We start from the raw sequence: 22,664 nt of genomic DNA, 5'->3' as shown, positions 1-22,664 counted from the left end.
TAAATCCTCAGCTCTCTGATCACCAACAAGTAGCCAAGCAGCAAGCTAAGCTGCCTAATGGCCCTGGGTATGTAGTTAGAGCAGTGGAGTCAGTTTATGCCAAGACTACTTCTCTCTTCTGTTCAAAATTTTCTCCCTGGAAGGTTATTTATTTTATTTGTAAAATCCAGGGTATTTTCCAAAGCCCCAGACAAAAGAGCCAACACATATCCAGTATCATCTGATGGAAAACTTTTTTCAGTTTGAGATGTGCCTGTGGCCCTTCAGGATTCACTGACACACTGGCATGGCCCATCAAGCCATCCACCTGTCTGGCTGTGAATCCACATACTTCCCACCAAGAAAAGCAGAAGTAAACACACATCTACAGTTCTCTGTTCTCTTTCCACTAGAAACACTATCTCCTACCTACCACTACTCCTCCCAGCCCTGCTGCTGCTCAGCAAACACTGGCAAAAGTGGGAGCACTCAGGGCAATGAAACATACCCAAAGATGTCTTCGAATGTATGAAAGTGGAAAAATACCCTGGTTGATAGGGCCATGGACATAGACCCTACAGAAGCCTCTCTGTACTCTGAGGACCTGCTCTTCTACCAGCAAGCTTGATTCTGACTTCTTAGGAGGAAAATGGGGTAGAGCCTCTGGGCAAAAATGAGAAGCATTCCTTTTTTCCCTGTGGTCTCCTCACAGACAGGAGCATCCATTTGCTGTCCCCATCTTGTCCCTATATCTTGGCAATGCCCATGAAACCAAGTCCAAACTCCTTAGCATGGCAAACAATGTTTTACGGGAAAGCAGCTTCTTAATTTTTCTTAGCTTCGATTTCATCATGTATAAAAGAGGTATTAAATAAGACTACTTCATAGGGTGGAGATAATTAAATGAGGGCCTAGACAAACTTAACAGGGTGCTGGGCACAGGATAGGTGCCCAGTAATTGTGTGTTAGCATATAGATTATGATTTGCTCCTTGCCGATTCCTCCAGCTTCCTGTGTCACCAGACCATGCCCATCTTTCCCCGCCCCAGGCAGAACTCCAGCAACATTTAATTACGGTTTTTAAAGGTACTTTGCTCTCTCTCTTCCCCCTCTGGACTTTTGCATATTAGCTTTTCTGCTTGAAATGCCTCCTGTCCTCCTTCCCTAACAATTCCCATATCCTGGCTAACATCTGTTTTTTTAGGACTCAGGTTAGGAGTCATTTCTTCTCCACCTCAAGCTGGATTAGATGTTTCCATAGCAACCAGTGCTTATCAGTATCAGTGCACTTATCTCTCTATAATTGGCTACTTATATATCTGTATCCTTTATAAGGTTTCAAGGCCCTGAAGAGCCAGAACTGTGCCCTATTCTCAGAATTATATCTCAAATGTTGGAAAAGTGCTTCACATATAGAAAACTACGGTCAACATACTCCCCCCACCCCCCCATTTTTGTGAAATGCTTACATTCTCTCTTGCATTGTTTAAAAACTGGCTGGGCATATTCCTGAGAAGCTAGAGATTCCTACCCACAACTCTGGGATAACTTACAAGGGACACAGACATCTGCACCTTTCTAGGACAGTTCCCACTCCATAACCCTACCTCAAGCTCATGCAATGGGTGGCTGGATTCCCTGAGAGAGGACAAAGAAAAGGCTGAAAGATGCTCATCAGGATTAAAAGGGACTTTGCATCCTTCCTTTGAGAGATAGGGCCTGGCAAACACCCAAGACCTGTGGAGAAGTGCTCCTAGCTGCTCACCTGGTAGATATGGTTGAGTTTGAAGTGTTTGAGGAGTAGCAGAAGCAGGGTAGAGATACTCTTTACAATAATCTCCTTGTGCCTGTTCACATCGATGCCCAGCTTCATGCTCTGGAGAACAGTGATGCTACAATGGGGAGAGAAGGTATTAGTGCAGAGAGTGGCCTTAAAGGGAGCCCTGTAGGGATCCAGGTATTTGGGTCTGATACAATATACACAAGAGAGCCAGAACTTGGGAAACTTGAACTTCTGTGCCAGGGAAACCTCCAGAGTTCCCACTTATGAGCCTATCTGAAGAAATGCTCCACTGATCTCTTTGTTTCCGTCTCTCTTTTGGCAAGCTCATCCCTTGGCAATGTTCACCCAAATACCTGGGCAGCCAGTCGCTGGCACTGGTGTCACCCTCCAGATCCAGAGTTCTGAGCTAAAAAGAGCCAAGCAGAAAGCCCTGTACGGGAAAGGGGGTACTGGTGGGCAGAGACGGGGAGATCTCTTTGGAGACAATCTCTGTAAGTGTTAACAAGGTGAGTGGGGACTAGAGAGAGCCTGCAGATAAGACAGCTAGTATCCAGCAGCTGCCCCCGTTGAAGCACTCACGGCATCTCCTCAGGTAGGACATCTGCCAGGATATTGATAGAGTCTGTCTTAGCCTTAGAGGTGGGAGCTGCAGCCAGCAGAATCTTAAGCAGAGCGATCTGAGAAGTAGAAAATAAAGAAATTTACCACTGTCAAACCCACTCAGCAAGGAAGTGATTCTTCCACACCCTAACCGCCCTATAAAAAGTGTTTTAAAGCCATTCTGTAAGTTCTTCCCTCAATGACCATATCTCCCCAGCATCCAGAAAAGCAAACAGGTGCCCAGTCCTGACAGGCCTGCCTGTGAGGCTAGGGAGAAAGCCAGAGGGAGTGCATTGGCTGTTATGCTTCAAGACTGTTCTTTCCAGGGCCTGGCATGGTGGCTGATGTCTGTAATCCCAGCACTTTTGGAGGCCGAGACAGGCAGATCACTTGAGGTTGGAAGTTCAAGATCAGCCTGGCCAACATGGTAAAACTCCATCTCTACTAAAAATACAAAAACTAGCTGGCGTGGTGGCATGTGCCTGTAATCCCAGCTATTCGGGAGGCTGAGGCAGGAGAATCACTTGAACCTGGGAGGTGGAGGTTGCAGTGGGCCAAGATCGTGCCACTGCACTCCAGCCTGGGCGACAGAGTGAGACTCCACTTCAAAAAAAAAAAAAAGACTGTTCTTTTCAAAGGGGAAGATGGAAGGAACAGAGTGGGAGGGACAGTGTGTAGAAATAAGGTGGGCGGCATAAACCCAACTTCTCCCACTCTTTTCTTTCCTCTAACCTGAACCATTGGCATCTTCCCCACTCCCAGCCTGAGGCTATCTAGGACATGACAGACCACAGCAGATCTCAGAGGGACTACAGTACTTATCTCGGAGGAGGGTCCCCAGTGTATCCTGTAGAGACCCCAACTTATTCCCCACCCTTCCCAAAGAAGGACTAGGGAGAACAGCACCATCAGAGGAGCACTGAGGAAAGCTCAGAATTTGCATGTGTCAGAGAATGCCTTGCCAAAGGGGCAAAGGCTCAGGAAACAAGCTCAAGTGTTGGACAGGTCCACTTGAAATGGTTTTTAGCTGTCTGTTCCTTGCAGCAGAGAAGGGCAGCTCTGGCCTAGCCATCTCCTTACCATATACTGCGGAAGGCTGTACAGCATTCCCTGGTAGAGGATTTCACATGGCGTCTCTGGTACCACCTCTTCCCCCTATGGCAAGAAATACATGGTTTGGCAATGCCACTTTCCAGGTGACCAAAGGCTTTTTTTTCTTGGTTGTGAGGGGTGACCTGAAAAGAGCACTAAGCTGGGAGTCAGATCTAGGTTTCTACCCTAGCTGTGTTAATGACTCACTGTGTGACCTTGGTTAAGTCACATTCCTTTTCTGAGTCCTAGTTTTCTCTTTAATAGGACCATCAGGTTGGCCTGGATGACCTTTCAGTACCTGGGATACTGGAACAGATGCTACAGAAGCACTTCCTATGGTGTGGATCTGAGGCTGAAAACTCTAGAACGTTCTGTAAGCCTGGAAGGAGAGGTAGGTGGCTCAATAGTGTGGGTTTAAAAGGAAGTTGGGTAACCTATGGACTGGAGAAACAGGAAGGAATATTAGCAAAGAAGCTTTTAAGTGGATGGAAATGATTTTCTTCCCCTCTCCATTAGCCCCTACATCACTTTCTCCTTTCTGACCAGCTCCCTCATATACAACTATCTCTGTCCTGTTGATGACATTAACTAAGCCTTTTATCAGAGTGGGGAGGCTGGGGTCTCAGGGACCCAATAAGCTGCTCAGGCCACTGTCATCTTTGACCAATGCAGTTCCCTTCCTCCTACAAGGTCCCTCTATTACAGGGCAAGGGGCCACTGCCATGAGACCCTGAGGCAGGGAAGAATAACCCGCCTCCCTCTGTCCCACACAACTAATCTGCTGCTTAAATGGACGTAAGTCCTAAATGGACATTCAACAGAGCCTGGCAATCCTGGCATGTTTGCCTTCCTGCTCTCCAAAAGGCTGATTTCATACCATCTTCTCTCTCCTCAAACCAACTCCTTTGCCCACCATCCCTAAACAGTTGCTGACCCTGCCTCACGCTTCATGGAGAAAACAGAAGCAATCAGACAGGCACACACTCATCTTCTCAACACCAAATCTACCAAGAGTCTTCTTCCTTCCTTCTTGACATGAAGGATGAACCGCCTGTGCTTCTAACAAAGGCCAGTCTCCTACTTGTGCTCAGGATCCCACACCCATTTGCTTTGTTGAATGCCTCAGTCCTGCAATTATCCCCTCTCTTGGATCACTTATTTTAGGAAACAAAAAATGCTCTAGTATCTCTCAGCTATAAAACATCCTCCCCTTGACCTCACATTTTCCTTCAGCTACCATCCACTTTCTCTCCTCTTCACAAAACTTTTATATCATCTACCTCCTTTTTTGACATTCCCTTCAATACACTCCAATTAGGCTTTCAGTCCCACTACTTCACTTAGAGTTGTTCTTATCAAGGTCACTATCTTCATGTTGCCAAATCCAATGGGCACCTTGGTTCTTACCATAATGCCACTTATTAGTAGCATTTTACCCAGCAGATCACTCCTTTTTTCTTGAAAGACTTTCTTAGCTTTTATGATGATATCATAATCTCCTGGATTTCCAGCCACTTCACTGTCTTTCATATTCTTCTGGCTCCTTTCCTGACACATCCCCCCCTCAACATACTGGTGTGCCCCAGGGCTTTGTCCTGCCTTCCATTCTCTTCTTTGTCTCTACTCCCTCCCTGGGTTATCTCAGCCAGTTCTACGGCCTTTAACACTGCCTATAAGTGTTACAAACAACTCCCGAATTTATTTCTCAAAGTCAGCCCTCTCTGTAGAATTCTAGACTTTATTTCCAATTGCCTGCAGCTCCACATGGGTATCTAATGGGCATCTAAAACTTAGTATGACCAAAACAGAACTCTTGATATTCCCCCCACATCCTGGCAAATGGTACTTATTCTTGATTCCTTTCTTTGCCTCTCTATCCACATCCAAATGCACTGCAAGTCTTGTCAGCTACATCTCCAAATCCAGGTCGGCATCATCTCTCACCTTGACTATTTCAAGGGTTTTCTAACTAATCTCCGTAGAGTGCGTCTATGCTTTTCTGGTCCAATCTTTACACAGAAGCTAATGTTTTTAGAAACATAAATCAGATCATATCACTCCCCTGCTTCAAATCTCCAAAGGCTGCCTTCCCTTTGACTGCGAGTCAACTTCAAGCTCTCTACCTTTGCTTACAGGTCCTCGGCAAAGTGGCCTCAGGCCACCTCTCTGACTCCATCTCTAGGATCCCAGCCCTCGGCCCTGTGCTCTAGCCACAACAGCCTTCCTTCACTACCTCTGACACTCTTAAGCCTGCTTTCCCCTTGCTAAGGCTGTTCTCTCTGTTTGGAATGCTCTTTCCTCTGATGCTCCTATGGCTGGATCCCTGTCCCTCAGATCTTGGCTTAAATGTCACCTTCTCAGAGGTCTACCTACTCCAACTGCCCAATCTTAAGTAGTCTACTGATGCTTCTTTCATGTCATCCTGTTTAAATTTTCTTCATTGTATTTACCATTCTCTGATAGTTTGGTTTACTTAACTTTTTATTTTTTATCTTTCTTCCCCAACTTCAATATATCATGAAAGTAGGGACCTTGTCTTGCCTGGAACACAGTTACAGCCTAATATGCTGAATGAATGCATGCACACATGCTCTGTGACAACACTGAAGACAGGTTTTCTTCTACTCTCCTCCTGTGTAGGGCTTCCTTGGCTCACCAAAGACATAGGGCACTTCTCCAGCTCCTCTTCATTCTTGATCTGCACATCTGCGATGGAGATATACTTGTGCTGACAAAGATAAGAAGACATCAACAAGGGCTGAGGGCCTCATTCACATGTGTACCAGTCTCTTACTTAAATTCCCCAAAAGCAAGGAAATGTTCTGCTTATGGGTTTGTTACCCCACATAGACATGAACTCTTTCAAGGAAGGAGTCTTAATCACCTCTGCATCATCAGCACCAGTCAAAGTGCTTTGTGCACAGTGTTTTTTTAAAATTCTGTTTCTACATTTGCTGAAGAGCAGCAAATACCTAAGCATTTATCTTCAAATAAAGTGCAAGGGGAAGTCAGAAACAGGCCCCTGCCCCTGGACCACTGCCCTGAGAATTTTGATGCGTGTGCACGTATGCATGGAGTGATGACTCCATGCATACAATGGATATAGAGCAGGCTCCTACTCAATCCTGGGCCTTTGGAAGTTAGTAGACTTATGGACAGAGAGAAGTGAAAGAAAAAGAAGCAAGGAATGGGAAGAGAGAGAGAAGAATGGGAAGAGGAAAAAGAAATGAGAGGAAGAAAGGAGAATTTTAAAATCTACCTGAATATAGGAAACTGAGTAAGTAAAGAGAGACCTAATTTTTCCTATTTGGCCAAAGGACTGCAGGAGGAATGCAGAAGGTCCAGAAAGAGTCTGGTATAAAAGCCCCACCCAGTATCCAGGAGCCTGGTAATCTGACCTGCTTTGATGGCTCCCTATCCCTGAAGACTGAGAGCCCACCCCAGTCACCTGCTTTAGGGTCTTCACACTCTCATGGATGGGCCTGGGTAATCCAACCAATGTATCTGTGTCCCTGTAAAAGGCCAGACATACCAGATCATAAGCTTCCAAAGTACGAGAACTACTGATACCCCAATACCCCCCTAGAGTCAACAGACCATGCTACTTTCAACAACATCTACCCCCAGTACCCTAGACCTTCCTCTGCAAGCTCGTAGGTCCCACATCAGTGCTTCAGGACACAAAAATAATAATGGTACACAGAAATGTTTCTGGAAATCAGGAGATTTTTATAGTCTTTTGGGTACTCACTTGGTGTAGGAGTGGTAGGTTCCTACTTAAAAGGGTATATAGCCCAATGACACCTTGACTATGAAACTCCACTAATAAGGACTCAATTTTCAAGAGGCCAGTGGGAAGGATTCATGAGGCTGGGGAATGGGGGAAGACTGGATCCGTTCTGACCATGTCTCTTGTTCACAGAATTTTAGCCCATTAGAGCAGGAAGGGCCCACAGAAACCATCTAACCCAACAACCTCAGGAAAAAATTAAGCCCGAAAGAGAAATGACTTGTTGCTCAAAGTCCTACAGTTGGCTAAAAACACAAAAGTTCTTTGAGGAAAAGTGGAAGAAACTCAAGGAAAAAAGAAATCCATAGAAAGAACCCAAAGTAGTCACTGGGAGTTGTCCATGGCCTAGGGGCTCTAGGTTACATTATGACCACCAGGCACCATCCCTCATTCCAAGCTACCTGCTCCTCTGGCCCCCTAGGAACCACTCTGTAGCCAGTTCCAGCCATTCAGTCACTTACTGCCCCAGGGTGAATCCGATGAACTTGTTCCTGCTCATCTCCAAGAAGTGCTCAATGTCCTTCTGTCTGAGAGGATGGTGGAAAGACCAATCCCAGAGAAGGGAAGAAAAGCAAACTTTGAGAGAGAAAAACTTTCCGGGCTCCTATCCCTCCAATCAGAGGACTGGAGCAGTGGAAAAAGGCAGCAATCAACAGAAGGAATTTCAAACCCAGGAGTTCTGACTGCCAGACCAACTTAACGAGCCTTGAATACATAGACTACCCCATCTTGGGCCTTTGGAGACTGAAACCCCGAAGCATAGGGGTCCCTGATGCTATCAAACCTACCTGACCTTTGGGGCCCAGGGCAGGCCCTTGGGAAAAGCCACCCGCTCAGCAGAGAGGGGTGCCTGTGAGGGTGGAGGTGGCACCAGAGGGTCCTGCTCTAGCAGGTCTAGCTCTCCATCCAAGGTTCGTTCTCCATCACCAGCAGACTCCTCTTCCTCCTCTGTGGCGGGCTCCTCAGTCTTGAAGAGATCCCTTTCATTGTAGATGTCCAGGCTGTCCTGCTTAGTGAGGAGTTGCTGGAGGGGAAAGAAGGGAGGGTAGGCATGCAGAGATCTCACTCTGGGCATCCTTGTCTGAGGCCACCCCATATCCACAGGCCTCCACATTTCAGGGAACATGGAATCTGAACACAGCCCTTGCGAAAACATCCAATTCCCCACCTTAACCTACTGTCCCCACCCGGCCCAATAACAGGACAAGAAGTTCTCAGGTAACCCTGCCATTAGCCAGGGAACATAGCATAGATAATCCCAAAGTCACAATTACTTAGCTTTCAGAAAGCAGTGATGCCTTTTTTTGCCAGCACTTTCCTTCCTAATTATGCTCTGCTTAGGTGAACATTCAATTAGTTTGCCTTCTGTGAGCATACACCAGCTGGCTGACTGAGGAAGAGGAGGACAGAAGCTTGCTGCTAGGCAGAGGGAAGCAAGTTTGGAATTTTAAATCTTGTGACAAAGAAAAAAAGATTGGACAGAAATAGGCCAAAAAGTTAACAGTGACTGTCTCTGGTTGTTAAGATTGTGGGTGATTTTTCTTTTCTCCCTTCATCACATTTTTATATTTGTTCCAAATTTTCTACAATGAGTAAGCATTACTTTATAAAACAAAAATAAAGTTAAAAAATTTTATTGCAGATAATGGAGACTGGATTACTGAGCACTACTATCTAGCCCTGTTGATAAACTGAAGTGGGTCAGGCAGGGGAGTTTGTAAGAACATAGTCAGATCTCAGTATAACTTTTCATTCTGACCTTTTCAGGACAGCAGACTATAGTCATGTGCTGCACAACGATGCTTCAGTCAACAATGGACTGCATATGTAATTGTGGACCCATAAGATTATAATACTGTATTTTTATTGGCCTTTTCTAGGTTGAGATACACAAACACCATTGGGTTACAATTGCATATGGTGTTCGGTATAGTAACCTGCTGTACAGGTTTGTAGTCTAGGAACAATAGGCTATATGCCTAGGTGTGCAGTAGGCTATACCATCTGGGTTTGTGTAAGTACACTCTATGATGTTTGCTCAGTGACAAAATTGCATAATGACACATTTTTCAGATTGTATCCCTGTCGTTTAGTGTCACATGGTTATATACATAGACCCCTACCCAGTCATCTCTTAAATGTAAGCCTTTGGTTCCAGGGCCAGTTAAGAGTGTGGCTGGCTGACAGTAAAACTTCCTGGTGCTTCAAAATAGTAAAATGCCTTACCCCAGAAAAATGGATTTGCTTGGAGACCTGTTCCGGTATCCTGGGTCCCTATCCCCAGGATTATACCCTTAATTGTTATTCAGAATGTAAGGAACTCCAGGCACTGAGGTCCAGGCCAATGATTCTGTAGCAAGACATGGCTATATATGACATGATATCACAGTGTCACATCACAACAGCGCAGGGGGCTGTCAGGGCTGGGGGACAGAGGCCAAACTAGAGACCCTAAGATTTCAGGTTGGTCATAGGGCCAACCTGGGCAGGATGAGCCGGGTCATTTACTGCTTTTTCCTACCACACCCAGAGTAACTTAGAATCTTGATTTTTGGCCAGTCGGTGTCCCAATACCATTGTCTGCTTCAGTCCATACCCTTCGAGAGCCACGGCGGCCTCGCAGCTTGGAGGGTGGGGGTGCCAGCTGAGACTCTCCCAGGTCAAGAGTGTAAGAGGGCGGGGAGGCAGCACGCATGCTCTTCACCACCTGGATACTGTCTTCAGCCAGTGGAGGCAGGCCCAATTCTGCCCGCTTCTGTACTTTGAGAGTCTGCAGATGCTCAAATCCACCGAGGGTAAACTAAGGAAGAAACAGGAAAGGGGCAGAGAGAGAGGAAGGAAGGGAAGTAAGAGAGAGCCAAGGTCAGGGAAACATGGATGAAAAGAAAGGGCCACAACCTCCAGTCCCTTCAGACCTTTTCCTTAATAAGGAGGTAGTAAAACATAAAGAGGCAAATATGATTACCATCCCCACGGCAACTGAGGAGCTCAGGGGTCAGGATAAGGCATTATTTACTGCCCCAGTATGGGAAATATCACAGAATTTAGGAAAGGAATTCCTGCGGGCCTCCTCAAAAAAAAAAAAAAAGAAAAAAAAGAAACTATCGACTTTTTTAAGGAACACCATCCAGGTGCTATAAACCCCCAGAGTCACTCAATTTCCTCTGCAGTCAAGAGGCAGTTCCCCCTATTAGGCCTGCCTTGTGAGATGGGAGCCAAAAATGAAGGATCAGGTTGAATAACTAGTAACAGAAATGTAACCACATATTTATAAGAACTTCATTATTTTTTAAAAAGCAAATCCTGGCCAGGCACAATGGCTCATGCCTGTAATCCCAACATTTTGGGAAGCCAAGGTGAAAGGATTGCTTGAGACCAGGAGTTCAAGACCAGCCCAGGCAACACAGGGAGGCCTGTCTGTAAGAAAAAATTATTTTTATTAAAAAAAAAATACAAAACCTCTGTTTATCTGGAGGGAGGGCAGGCACTCACCCCAACCTTTTACAGCTAGAGAAATTGAGGCACAGAGAGTTGCCCAAAGTTTCTCAGTATCAGCAAAGCCCAGATCTACCAACTTTCAACCAGTGTTCTCTCCATCAAACATTGGCTTTAATAAGAGAAGGTACCACTGACATCCCCAATTTATGGAGTGGCATCTCCCATCCATCCAATAGAAACATGAAACCCATTCTAACATAGAACATCTGATGTCTCTAGGACAGCCTTGTTGCCCCTCCATATTAGCAGTTGGCTAAGGGCTGCCTGTTCTGCTCCCTGGATCCAGCCTCCTGGAATGAGACTAGAAGAAACTGAGGTGGCATAGGGCATTGCTGATCTGATAATGTGGGAGTGGGGAGAATTACTCACCATGACCACCTTCCAGAGCAGGAGCAGGACCTTCTTTATGGGGAAGTGAGGAGCCAGGCCACTGCAGAACTTGGTAACCATGGAGAAGAGTAAAAGGGCAAAAGGCTCCTCATTATGCATGGAGAAGCCTAGGGGTGAGGAGAGAGGGGAGTGAGAAAGTGAGGATGAGGCAGCTAAAACCTTTTTCATGTAACCCTGATTCTGGACACACACAGGAAGGCACTCACCTCCCCTGAAGAATACCAGAGTACTTGGTCCTGAGAAGGAGGCTTAGCCCCCAGAAGGAAGCCCCTCAAGGGCAGGAAGGGACGCCATGGAATTAAAATGGCATAGGCCCCAGAGCTTAGGGTGACGCTTTGGGGTTGGATGCCAAACTAGAAGTAACAATAATGAAGACATTGCTTTCTGGCTAAAGGACTCAATGTCATTCACTTTTCCACATCAATAAATATATTTTTAAAATCCCATAGTCCTTCATATCCTATCCCTGTCAGATGACAACACCAACTTACATTTGAACAGAACTCAGTTTTCAAGGTGATTCAACTCATTTTTTCATGTGGGACTCGTGATAGAGTGGGAGAGGAATGGCTATCCCCACTTATAACCAAGGAAACCAAGGCATAGAGAAGTTACATGGCTGGTCTTAGCTCATAGATACAGGGCGGCAATCAAGCCCAGCCCTTGTGCCTGCCATGCAGTATCTGTGTCCTAAAAGAAAGGACATTAATTTTAAAAAAGAAAACAAAAGAAAAAACGACTGTCTGCCTCTCCTAGGCAGATGCTCTGCTTCCCCTCTCCCATTAGCACCCCATCCACACCTTCCTCAAGTGCCATTTCTTACTTAATTCAGTGCGGAAGGTCTCCCGGGCTGTTCTCCACCCACAGGGGTCTGTCTCTCGCTCCAGGCGAATATTTTCCACCATTAGGTACATAACACTCAGCAGCACCCTGGGGTTACAGAAGAGTCACAAGAGGTTCCCAAGGCAATTCCCAGCCCATAGTCACAGACCTCAGAGATGGTCTCTGTGGGAAGCCCAACCCAGTGAGATTAGCTACAGGGCAACTTCCTAATGGTCTGAGTCATCTGGGATTTGGGGAAAAGGTAACCCAGGTGCTAATCATCTGCCCTGTTCCAAGCCCATAGTTAGCCCCACTCACCTGAGCTCTGTGCTATCAGCTATGGAGACAGCTGGTTTCCGAAGGGCACTGCTACAGGCCTGGCTGTTGCTGCCAGGGGAGGAGAAAAAGAACAGGAATGCATAAGACTTCTTTTCTCTCTGTGCTCTTACTTATCACTCACACAAATATGAGTGCTTGCCATTCCCTGGCTAGGCAGCCACTAATGAAACTGGTCTAGAGTAAAGGAGCTGACAGAATTCCCCTGCCACCTCAGCAAACTCTCATCTATGGTGAAGACAAGGCAAGGGCAGGATCTGTGGTATCCACTCCTCTTGCATTCCCCACTATGCTTAGAACTGTGCTGGACATAAAACAGATGCTAAGAAACACCTGATGAATAATAAGCAGATTGCACCCTATCTCAAACTCCTGGGTGATGGGCATGAGACAAAACAAGGGGTCACTGTAGTGGTAGCAGCAAATAAGGCCACCTCTAGAACTATAGCCCATGAGGGAAAGAATTGGGCACAATGACAGGAATTGATTTCCTGTCTTTCTTGGGTCATGCATTCAAAATAGTTTCCCTCTTGAATTCCAGAGTTAGGCTGAGCTAAGAAAGTCCTTGAATAAAAAGAGAACCCACTCAGGATAGGCCCCTGAAGCCCAGGATTAAAGCTGTAAGTGAGGCAGAAGCTGCAGATGTATCCAACCTCAGGGAGGGAGAACAGAATATCAGAGAACATGGCTGGATGGAGGGGAACTGTCAATGAGCTTTGGGCTGAGGTGTGAGTAGACCCAGTTCCTCACAGGGGGTCTCTATAGTGAGGGAAGCAGCATAGAACATGAGGCCCCTTTAAGGAATGGGGGTTATGTAGGCCAGCCCTTCCCCTAAGGCTTCTCACTCAATTTCCATGTGGAGTAGCTCCAGGAAGGTGGAGAAGGTCCCCATCTGATACAGCAGGAAGCAGTTGTACCTGGACCAGTGTAGCACATCGACCTCTGAATCACATTCCCCAAAAGTACCTAAAGGACCAGACAGTTGTTACAGGGGTTGAGGGGTGGCAGTATCCCAGTTCTTTCCACCCTGCCCCATGATCTTAAGATTTTCCTATAATACTCTGCCTAATAATTAGGCTGACATAGGTATGACAGGGGCCCCAAGAACTTCCTGGAATGAGTCAGGGGAGAGGAGAGGTAGTCTCCAGGGTTAGGTCCAATGTGCTCATCAATGGCCTATCGTCTTAAGGGTGAGTTCTCCCAGAAGCAGATCCTGAGGTAAGTAAGGATTCCAGTGCAAGTAGCTTATTTGGGAATCATTCCCAGGAATCATCAGTAGAGATAGGGAAGAAAAGGAAGCCCAAAGAGTTCACTCAGGGGATAATTTGGAAACAGTATAAAACACACAACTCACAGTTATTCTATCCAAGAGGGGTGAGACAGTCAGGCTATCCATCCACTAACTCCTGTTAGTCATTGGATGAGGGTGCTAAACTAAAGGAGCACACTGATTCCCTACACTTCCTGGATGCCCTGTATGGGCTGCAGAGAAGGCCCTTGAGCAGAAGCTGAGCATGGTGGCACATGCCTATAATCCTAGCTACTTAGGAGGCTGGAGCAGGAGGATAGCTCGAGCCTATGAGTTCAAGACCAGCCAGGGAAACACAGTGAGACTTTCTTTTAAAAAACTTAGATAAATAAAGTCCTTGGGCAAACATATGAAGGTACTGGCAGTTGGAAGTTGGCCAGAGCACCAGACCCAAGAGATACAGGAGGGCACAGTCCTATTTGCTAGTCTTCTCTTCACCTAATGTCCACCCTTTCCCCTCTTCATTTATTATTTTTTTATTTTACAATTTTTTTTTTAGCTCCCAACTGGTTGGTTCTGTTAACACGCCTTATATTTATGATCGTAGGCTTATTTTCACTCCAGCTAGGCTATCTCATTTCCCTTTCCAACACCTGGCTAACAGGTTTCTTCTGAGCAGCTTTCCCCAATTACTCTATTTAGTTCTGATCATCTCCAAATTACTCACAGCATCCACTCCCGCAGTTATGTTGGCTTGAACTTTCAAAATGCCAATGAGAAACAATGCAAGGGGTCCATGTGTATCTGTGACACTCTCCTATTTCTCCTCAGTTTTGGGGCCAGGCCACAGTTGATGTCTTGTCTCCATGATCAGCTGGTGGTACATATCAGCTCTGGCCACACCTCTTGCTAGTATTCACATATGATTATAGTACAGGGTAGGGAAAAGAAGAACCCTATAAAAAATTCTGACATACCTGGTAAGATAAAGGCAGATCCCGAGGGATCTAGAACAGCACTCAACACTATCTCATCTTCCTCATAAGCACAGGTTACTCCTAGCACATGACAAGATCTGTCCTTGAGAGGCAAGAAACCTTGCTTTCCCAGCACAGCCTGCGTCATCTCAGTCCTGATAATGCCCACTTCCCTCTCAAGCCTCCACCCCTCTAAAGCTAGCAAGGGTGGTCACTCACCTTGGGCCAGGTAGAGAACAGCCCGGGCCACCTTCAGCCGCCGTTCCCTACTGACCACCTCTAGCCGGTCCAAGAGTCCCATTATATAGGCCTTTTGGGCATCTTCTTCCAACTCCAGCCATTCCTTGCCCTGCACTGGGAATAAAAGGCCATATACATCCAGTGTCAGCTATTGCCACCCTTCCTGGAAAGGCTCCTCATAGCATATCCACCTCTGATCTCAGCTCCCCTGCCAAAATTATTTTCTCCAAAAGCTTTCCTTATTTCACTGAGAAAGAATAAGGTATGGGAAAAGGACCCAAAATGTTCTGGCCTGAACCCAGTCTATAGCCTCACCTTCAACATCCCCTCTGTCCTCCACACACAGCCCATACTGTCCTGTCTTTCTGCCTTTCCTCAAGGAGTTCCCTCTGTCTCCCTACATATTCAATTCCTAGTCATCCTTACAGGCACAATACAAAATGACCTCTTTCCCAGTCTTACATGCCCAATATAAAAGGACCTTTCTCGGCCGGGTGCGGTGGCTCACGCCTGTAATCCCAGCACTTTGGGAGGCCGAGGCGGGCGGATCACGAGGTCAGGAGATTGAGACCATCCCGGCTAAAAAAACGGTGAAACCCCGTCTCTACTAAAAATACAAAAAATTAGCCGGGCGTAGTGGCGGGCGCCTGTAGTCCCAGCTACTTGGGAGGCTGAGGCAGGAGAATGGCGTGAACCCGGGAGGCGGAGCTTGCAGTGAGCCGAGATCCCGCCACTGCACTCCAGCCTGGGCGACAGAGCGAGACTCCGTCTCAAAAAAAAAAAAAAAAAAAAAAAAAAAAAAAAAAAAGGACCTTTCTCACTAATGCTGTGGCCAAATACTCTGCTTCCATAACACTTTTAAAACTTTTCTGACACAGCATTTTTCTCTTGGATGAGGGGTGCTAAACTAGAGGAACACACTGATTCCCTACAATTCCTGGCTGCCCTGTATAGGCTGCAGAGAAGGCCCTTGGGCAGAAGCTGGGCATAGTGGCACATGCCTGTAATCCTAGCTACTTGGGAGGCTGGGGCAGGAGGATTGTTTGAGCCTCAGCTAGTTTTGTGATGTGCACATGATTCCCCTGCTCTCAAACTCTAACTTCTTTGTAAAAGCTGCTTCTCACTCCTGCCTCCAGTATCTGACACAGAATAGATACTCACCACACATTTGTTGAACTGAAAATTGAATTGCCACTGACCAAGTAAGGAAATGGATGAGAATGTCTGAGAATGTCACAGTGTGGGCACATGAAATTACTATTGAGAGTAGGGCAAAGTTGAAGATGGGATGAAACATTAAGGTCAAGGGTTCTATCAGGCAGCACAGCACCAGCTTCTCATGCTTCTACTCCATTGCTCTCCACTTGAGATACAGAGAACCCTGTATCCCCTAAGCAAGAAGGAAAGGCTACATGGTTATGGAGGGTGTGAAGGTTAATATATATATATTTCCTATTAGTTCTATCCCTCTAAGAGAACCCTGACTAATACAGATTTGGGTACCAGGAGTGGTTCTAGAGGAACAGAATATTAAGGATGGAGTTCTTTCAGTGGTTTTGAGATTTCTGGAGTTGGCTGCTTAATATGATTAGATCCAAAAATGCTAAGAAATCTACTTCTAATAGTATAGAGAACACTGATAGTCCTTGGTGGAAACTGTTTAGAGAGTTATGCAAAATAAATGCATTTGACATTCCTGATTCACCACTCATGAGAGGCAAGGAGTTTAGTGACTATACATAATACCTTTGACCATATGTGGAGAACCAAGGAACATAAGGAAGCTGGTTGGTTGCTCCGAAGTTCAGTGGACAAAGTGATGAAAGAAAATGATGAACTCAGGGATTCTGTCTCCCAGCTTCAGAAGCAGATACTGAGCCTCAAATCTGCTAAGATTGCCCTGAGTGAGAGTCTTATCTCCTGCAGAGAAAGAGCTGAAATTGTGGAAAAACAGACACAAGCTTTTGTCATGTGAATGGCTGAACTGCAATGAAAGATGCATTTACAGCCTTGTCAGGTGTCTACTGTTAAAGTGAGGGCATTTATTGGAAAAGAATGGGACCCTGAAACTTGGAATGGGGACATGTGGGAGGACCCTGGTGAAGCTGGGCACACTGAGTTTGTAAACTCTGATGAACCTTTTTTGCCAGGAGGAACAGTTTCCCCATCCCCAGTAGTGGCAATATCTCCTCCCTGACCCATGCTGCCATCAGCCTTTCCACCTTTGTCTGAGGAGATAAACCCTGCACTGCCTGAAGCAACAGTGATGGCAGTTGCCCTGAAACAGTTGCCAGGCAAGATAATATTGCTTCTCCTCAGAAGCTACCCTCAACACCTTTGTTTGGTTCTAGACCTATAACTAGACGAAAGTCCTGGCAGGCCCCTAGAGGTGAGGTTGAGAGTGTGACCCATGAGGAGGTGTGCTACACTCAAAAAGAACTATTTGAGTCCTCTAATTTATATAAACAGCAATCTGGAGAACAGGCATGGGAATGGATATTAAGGGTATGGGATGATGGAGGAAGGAACACAGAGTTGGATCAGGCTCAATTTATTGATTTAGGCCCACTAAGTAGGGGCTCTGCGTTCAATGTTGCAGCTTGGGGAGTTAAAAAAGGTTCTAATAGTTTATTTGGTCAGCTGAATTATGGATTAAAAGATGGCCCACTCTGAGTGAGCTGGAAATGCCTGCTCTCCCTTGGTTTAATGTAGAGGAAGGGATCCAAAGGCTTAGGGAGATTGGGATGGTGGAGTGGATTAGTCACTTTAGATCTACTCATCCCAGCTGGGAGGGTCCAGCAGATACACCCTTGACCAATGCATTATAAAATAGATTTATGAAGGCAGCAACTGCATCTTTGAAGAGTCCTGTAATTGCTTTTCTCCTTATGCCAGAGCTAATGGTGGGAACCACAGTCACTCAACTACAAAATTTAAATACAATGGGAATAATTGGATCCCGAGGTGGCAGGGGCCAAGTGGAAGCACTCGACCATCAAAGGCAAGGTGAGCATAGCTACCATAATGGATGGCAGAGGCAAAGGAGCAATCAGAATAGTCTGACTCATGTAGAGCTGTGGCATTGGCTAATTAATCACAGTGTTTCTAGAAGTGAAACTGATAGGAAGCCTACTATATTCCTACTTTATACAAGCAGAAAACTTGTAGGTCGAATGGACGAAAGACTAATTTGAATTATAAAAACAGAGAATCATGGCCTCTCAATTTCCAGACTTGAGCCAGTTAATAGACCTGGAACCCCCTGAATGAAGGGGAGGCCGGGTTCCCTTGAGGAAGGACCCCACTACATTACCAACAATTTATGCAGTGAATTTTTCTCCCATCCTTCCCCAAGAAGACCTCTGGCCTTTTACTAGGGTAACTGTGCACTGGGGAAAGGGAAATGATCAGACATTTCGGGGACTACTGGACACTGGCTCTGAGCTGATATTGATTCCAGGGCACCCAAAATGTCATTGTGGTCCTCCAGTTAAAGTAGGGGCTTATGGAGGTCAGGTAACTAATGAAGTTTTAGCTCAGGCCTGACTTACAGTGGGCCCCCAGACTCATCCTGTGGTCACTTCCCCAGTGCCAGAATGCATAATTGGCATAGACATACTTAGTAGCTGGCAGAACCCCCACAGTGGCTCCCTGACTGGTAGGGTGAGCGTTACTATGGTGGGAAAGGACAAATGGAAGCCATTAGAGCTGCCTCTACCTAGAAAAATAGTAAGTCAAAAACAATATCACATCCCTGGAGGGATTGTGGAGATCAGTGCCATCATCAAGGACTTGAAAGACAAAGGAGTGGTGATTCCCACCACAACCCTGTTCAACTCTCGCATTTGACCTGTGCAGAAGACAGATGAATCTTGGAGAATGTCAGTGGATTATCGTAAGCTTAACCAAGTGGTGACTCCAATTGCAGCTGCTGTACTAGATGTGGTTTCATTGCTCGAGCAAATTAACACATCTTCTGGTACCTGGTACGTGGTCATTGACTTGGCAAGTGCCTTTTTCTCCATTCCTGTCCATAAGGCCCGCCAGAAGCAATTTGCCTGCAGCTGGCTGGGACAGCAATATACCTTTACTGTCCTACCCCAGAGGTATATCTATTCTCTGGCTTTGAGTCATAATCTTATTCGGAGAGACCTTGATCGCTTTTTGCTTCCACAAGATATCACATTGGTCCATTACATTGATGACATTATGCTGATTGGATCCAGTGAGCAAGAAGTAGCAAATGCAGTGGACTTATTGGTGAGACATTTGTGTGCCAGAGGACGGGAAATAAATCTGATTAAAATTCAGGGAACTTCTACCTCAGTAAAATTCCAAGGATCCAGTGCTGTGGGACCTGTTGAGATATTCCTTCTTAGGTGAAGGATAAGTTGCTTCATTTGGCCCCTCCTACAACCAAGAAGCACAATGCCTAGTGGGTCTATTTGGATTTTGGAGGCAACACATTCCTCATTTGGGTGTGTTATTCCTGCCCATTTATCTGGACCCCACCCAGTTTTTAGTGGGGTCCAGAACAAGAGAAGGCTCTGCAACAGGCCCAGGCTGTTGTGCAAGCTGCTCTGCCACTTGGGCCATATGACCCAGCAGATCCAATGGTGCTTGAGGTGTCAGCGGCAGATGGGGATGCTGTTTGGTGCCTTTGGCAGGCTCCCAGAGATGAATCACAGTGGAGGCCTTTAGGATTTTGGAGCAAGGCCCTGCCATCTTCTGCAGATAACTACTTTACTTTTGAGAGACAGCTCTTGGCCTGTTACTGGTCTTTGGTGGAAACTGAACGTTTGACTATGGGTCATCAAGTCACCATGCGACCTCAACTGCCTATCATGAACTGAGTGCTTTCTGACCCATCAAGCCATAAAGTGGGTCGTGCACAGCAGCATTCCATCATCAAATGGAAGTGGTATATACGTGATCGGGCTCAAGCAGGTCCTGAAGGCACAAGTAAGTTACATGAGGAAGTGGCTCAAATGCCCATGGTCTCCAGTCCTGCCACCCTGGCTTCTTTCCCCCAGCCTGCACTGATGGCCTCATGGGGAGCTCCCTATAAGTTGACAGAGGAAGAGAAGACCAGGGCCTGGTTTACAGATGGTTCTGCACGATATGCAGGCACCACCTGAAAGTGGATGGCTGCAGCACTACAGCCCCTTTCTAGGACATCCCTGAAGGACAGCAGTGAAGGGAAATCTTCCCAGTGGGCAGAACTTTGAGCAGTGCACCTGGCTGTGTACTTTGCATGGAAGGATAAATGGTAAGATGTGCGATTAAATACTGATTCATGGGCTATAGCCAATGATTTGGCTGGATGGTCAGGGACTTGGAAGAAGCATGATTGGAAAATTGGTGACAAAAAAATTGGGGAAAGAAGTATGTGGATGGACCTCTCTGAGTGGTCAAAAACTATGAAGATATTTGTACTCCATGTGAGTGTTCACCAGTGGGTGACCAAAGCAGAGAAGGAGTTTAATAATCAAGTGGATAGGATGACCCGTTCTGTGGACACCAATCAGCCTCTTTCCCCAGCACCTCTGTCATTGTCCAATGGGCCCATGAGCAAAGTGGCCACTGTGGCAGGGACGGAAGTTACGCATGGGCTCAGTAACATGGACTTCCACTCACCAAGGTTGACCTGGCTACGGCCACTGCTGAGTGCCCAATTTGCTAGCAGCAGAGACCAACACTGAGCCCTGGATAAGGCACCATTCCTCAGGGTGATCAGCCAGCTACCTGGTGGCAGGTTGATTGTATTGGACCTCTTCTGTCATGGAAAGGGCAGAGGTTTGTCCTCACTAGAATAGACACTTACTCCAGATAAGGGTTTGCCTATCCTGCAAGCAATGCTTCTGCCAAGACTACCATCCATGGACTCATGGAATGCCTCATCCACCGTCATGGTATTCCACAAAGCATTGCCTCTGACCAAGGCACTCATTTCATGGCTAAAGAAGTGTGGCAGTGGGCTCATGCTCATGGTCTTACCATGTTCCCCATCATCCTGAAGCAGCTGGATTGATAGAACGGTGAAATGGCCTTTTGAAGTCACAATTACAATGCCAACTAGGTGACAATACTTTGCAGGGCTGGGGCAAAGTTCTCCAGAAGGCCGTGTATGCTCTGAATCAGCATCCAACATATGGTACTGTTTTTCCCATAGTCAGGATTCACCGGTCCAGGAATCAAGGGGTGGAAGTGGCACCACTCACCATCACCCCTAGTGATCTAGTAGCAAAATTTTTGCTTCCTGTTCCCGTGACATTACGTTCTGCTGGCCTAGAGGTTTTAGCTCCAGAGGGAGGAAACTGCCACCAGGAGACACAACAATGATTCCATTAAACTGGAAGTTAAGATTGCCACCTGGACACTTTGGGGTCCTCCTACCTTTAAGTCAACAGGCTAAGAAGGGAGTTACAGTGTTGGCTGGGGTGACTGACCCAGACTATCAAGATGAAATCAGTCTACTACTCCACAACGGAGGTAAGGAAGAGTATGCATGGAATACAGGAGATCCATTAGGGCGTCTCTTAGTATTACTATGCCCTGTGATTAAGGTCGATGGGAAACTACAACACCCCAATCCAGGCAGGACTACAAATGACCCAGACCCCTCAGGAATGAAGGTTTGGATTACTCCACCAGGAAAAAAACCACGACCTGCCAAGCTGCTTGCTGAATGCAAAGGGAATACAGAATGGGTAGTAGAAGAAGGTAGTCATCAATACCAGCTACGACCACGTGACCAGCTGGTCATGAGTATTTCCTTCTTCTTTTGTTAAAAACATGTTTGTGCGTGTATACACTTGTATTAATATCTTCATTTTATTTTCTTTCTCCTTTATCATGTGACATAAGATTTATTGACTTCATATCAGCATTTAAGTATTGTTAACTTTATATAATAGTATTTGGGTTGGGGATTGGTGAGTTTCCAGTTGTACAAAGGATATTTATGTTATCCTTTGTACAATTATGTTAGGCATAACTATGCCCTTATTATTGTCTTTAATTGAAGATTATGTATGATCTCAGGAGATGTGTATGAGTTCGAGCTGACAAGGGGTGGACTTGCGATGGTTAATACTGTGAGTCAACTTGATTGGATTGAAGGATACAAAGTATTGATCCTGGGTATATCTGTGAGGATGTTGCCAGAAGAGATTAACATTTGAGTCAGCCGGCTGGGGAAGGCAGATCCACCCTTAATCTGGTGGGCACAATCTAATTAGCTGCCAGCAAATATAAAACAGGCAGAAAAACATGAAAAGGAGAGATGGGCCTAGCCTTTCAGCCTACATCTTTCTCCTGTGCTGGATAGTTCCTGCCCTCGAATATCGGACTCCAAGTTCTTCAGTTTTGGGACTCAGACTGGCTCTCCTTGCTCCTCAGCTTGCAGACAGCCTATTATGGGACCTTGTGATTGTGTAAGTTAATACTTAATAAACTCCCCTTTATATATATCTATCTATTTATCATATTAGTTCTATCCCTCTAAGAGAACCCTAACTAATACAGAGGGGATGAAGGATCGCACTTTGTTTTAGTCTTTTACTAGATCAGGCTGGTATATCATAAAAGGAAAAAGCAGGTCTCTATGAGTAAAGATCTGGAATTACCTTGAGTCTTGAAATCTTCTTCAAAGCACCTCCTGTTATTGGTGAATTCCAGGTTCTCAGTGTAACTATACAATTCTGTGGCAGGAAAGACAGAACAGTCACATTCGGGAGATCCTTAAAGAAGAGGCCCAAAGTAGAGAGGGTGGCATGAAAGAGCTGAAGCTTCCAACACATTCCTGTGTCCAATGAATCCAAAGCTAGCTTCCTCCTTTTCAGAGCAACGTTAAAAATAGCCACTTGTGTCCCTGGGAGATTAAACCATCAAACCTGTCCTCTTCCT

General features: G+C 46.0%; 1 protein-coding gene across 12 annotated transcripts in view; it reads right to left on the bottom strand.

Annotated features, from left to right (window-relative positions):
- STRIP2 (striatin interacting protein 2) overlaps positions 1-22,664 on the bottom strand; it is a 53,968-nt gene that overhangs the window by 21,917 nt on the left and 9,387 nt on the right. For 4 of the 12 annotated variants that reach the window (NM_020704.3, XM_006716069.4, NM_001134336.2 and 1 more), the window contains exons 3-16: positions 22,385-22,459; positions 14,736-14,870; positions 13,136-13,256; positions 12,273-12,341; positions 11,956-12,062; positions 11,112-11,239; positions 9,841-10,044; positions 8,033-8,268; positions 7,706-7,771; positions 6,903-6,966; positions 6,111-6,182; positions 3,443-3,517; positions 2,342-2,439; positions 1,745-1,871 (exon numbers count right to left, since the gene is read on the bottom strand). In NM_020704.3, the coding sequence (NP_065755.1) occupies positions 1,745-1,871; positions 2,342-2,439; positions 3,443-3,517; positions 6,111-6,182; positions 6,903-6,966; positions 7,706-7,771; positions 8,033-8,268; positions 9,841-10,044; positions 11,112-11,239; positions 11,956-12,062; positions 12,273-12,341; positions 13,136-13,256; positions 14,736-14,870; positions 22,385-22,459 (1,577 nt within the window). Of the gene's footprint in view, positions 1-1,744; positions 1,872-2,341; positions 2,440-3,442; positions 3,518-3,752; positions 3,896-5,985; positions 6,183-6,902; positions 6,967-7,705; positions 7,772-8,032; positions 8,661-9,470; positions 9,784-9,840; positions 10,045-11,111; positions 11,240-11,955; positions 12,063-12,272; positions 12,342-13,135; positions 13,257-14,266; positions 14,364-14,735; positions 14,871-22,384; positions 22,460-22,664 lie in introns of those variants that run through there. The other 8 variants (XM_047420656.1, XM_011516432.2, XR_927493.2 and 5 more) reach the window with 8 other exon arrangements.

Source organism: Homo sapiens, chromosome 7 (genome assembly GCF_000001405.40).
Source record: "Homo sapiens chromosome 7, GRCh38.p14 Primary Assembly".
Classification (NCBI taxonomy): Eukaryota; Metazoa; Chordata; class Mammalia; order Primates; family Hominidae; genus Homo; species Homo sapiens.
The sequence above is the reverse complement of the archived record's forward strand: the minus strand, read 5'-3'. Positions and strand labels throughout refer to the sequence as shown.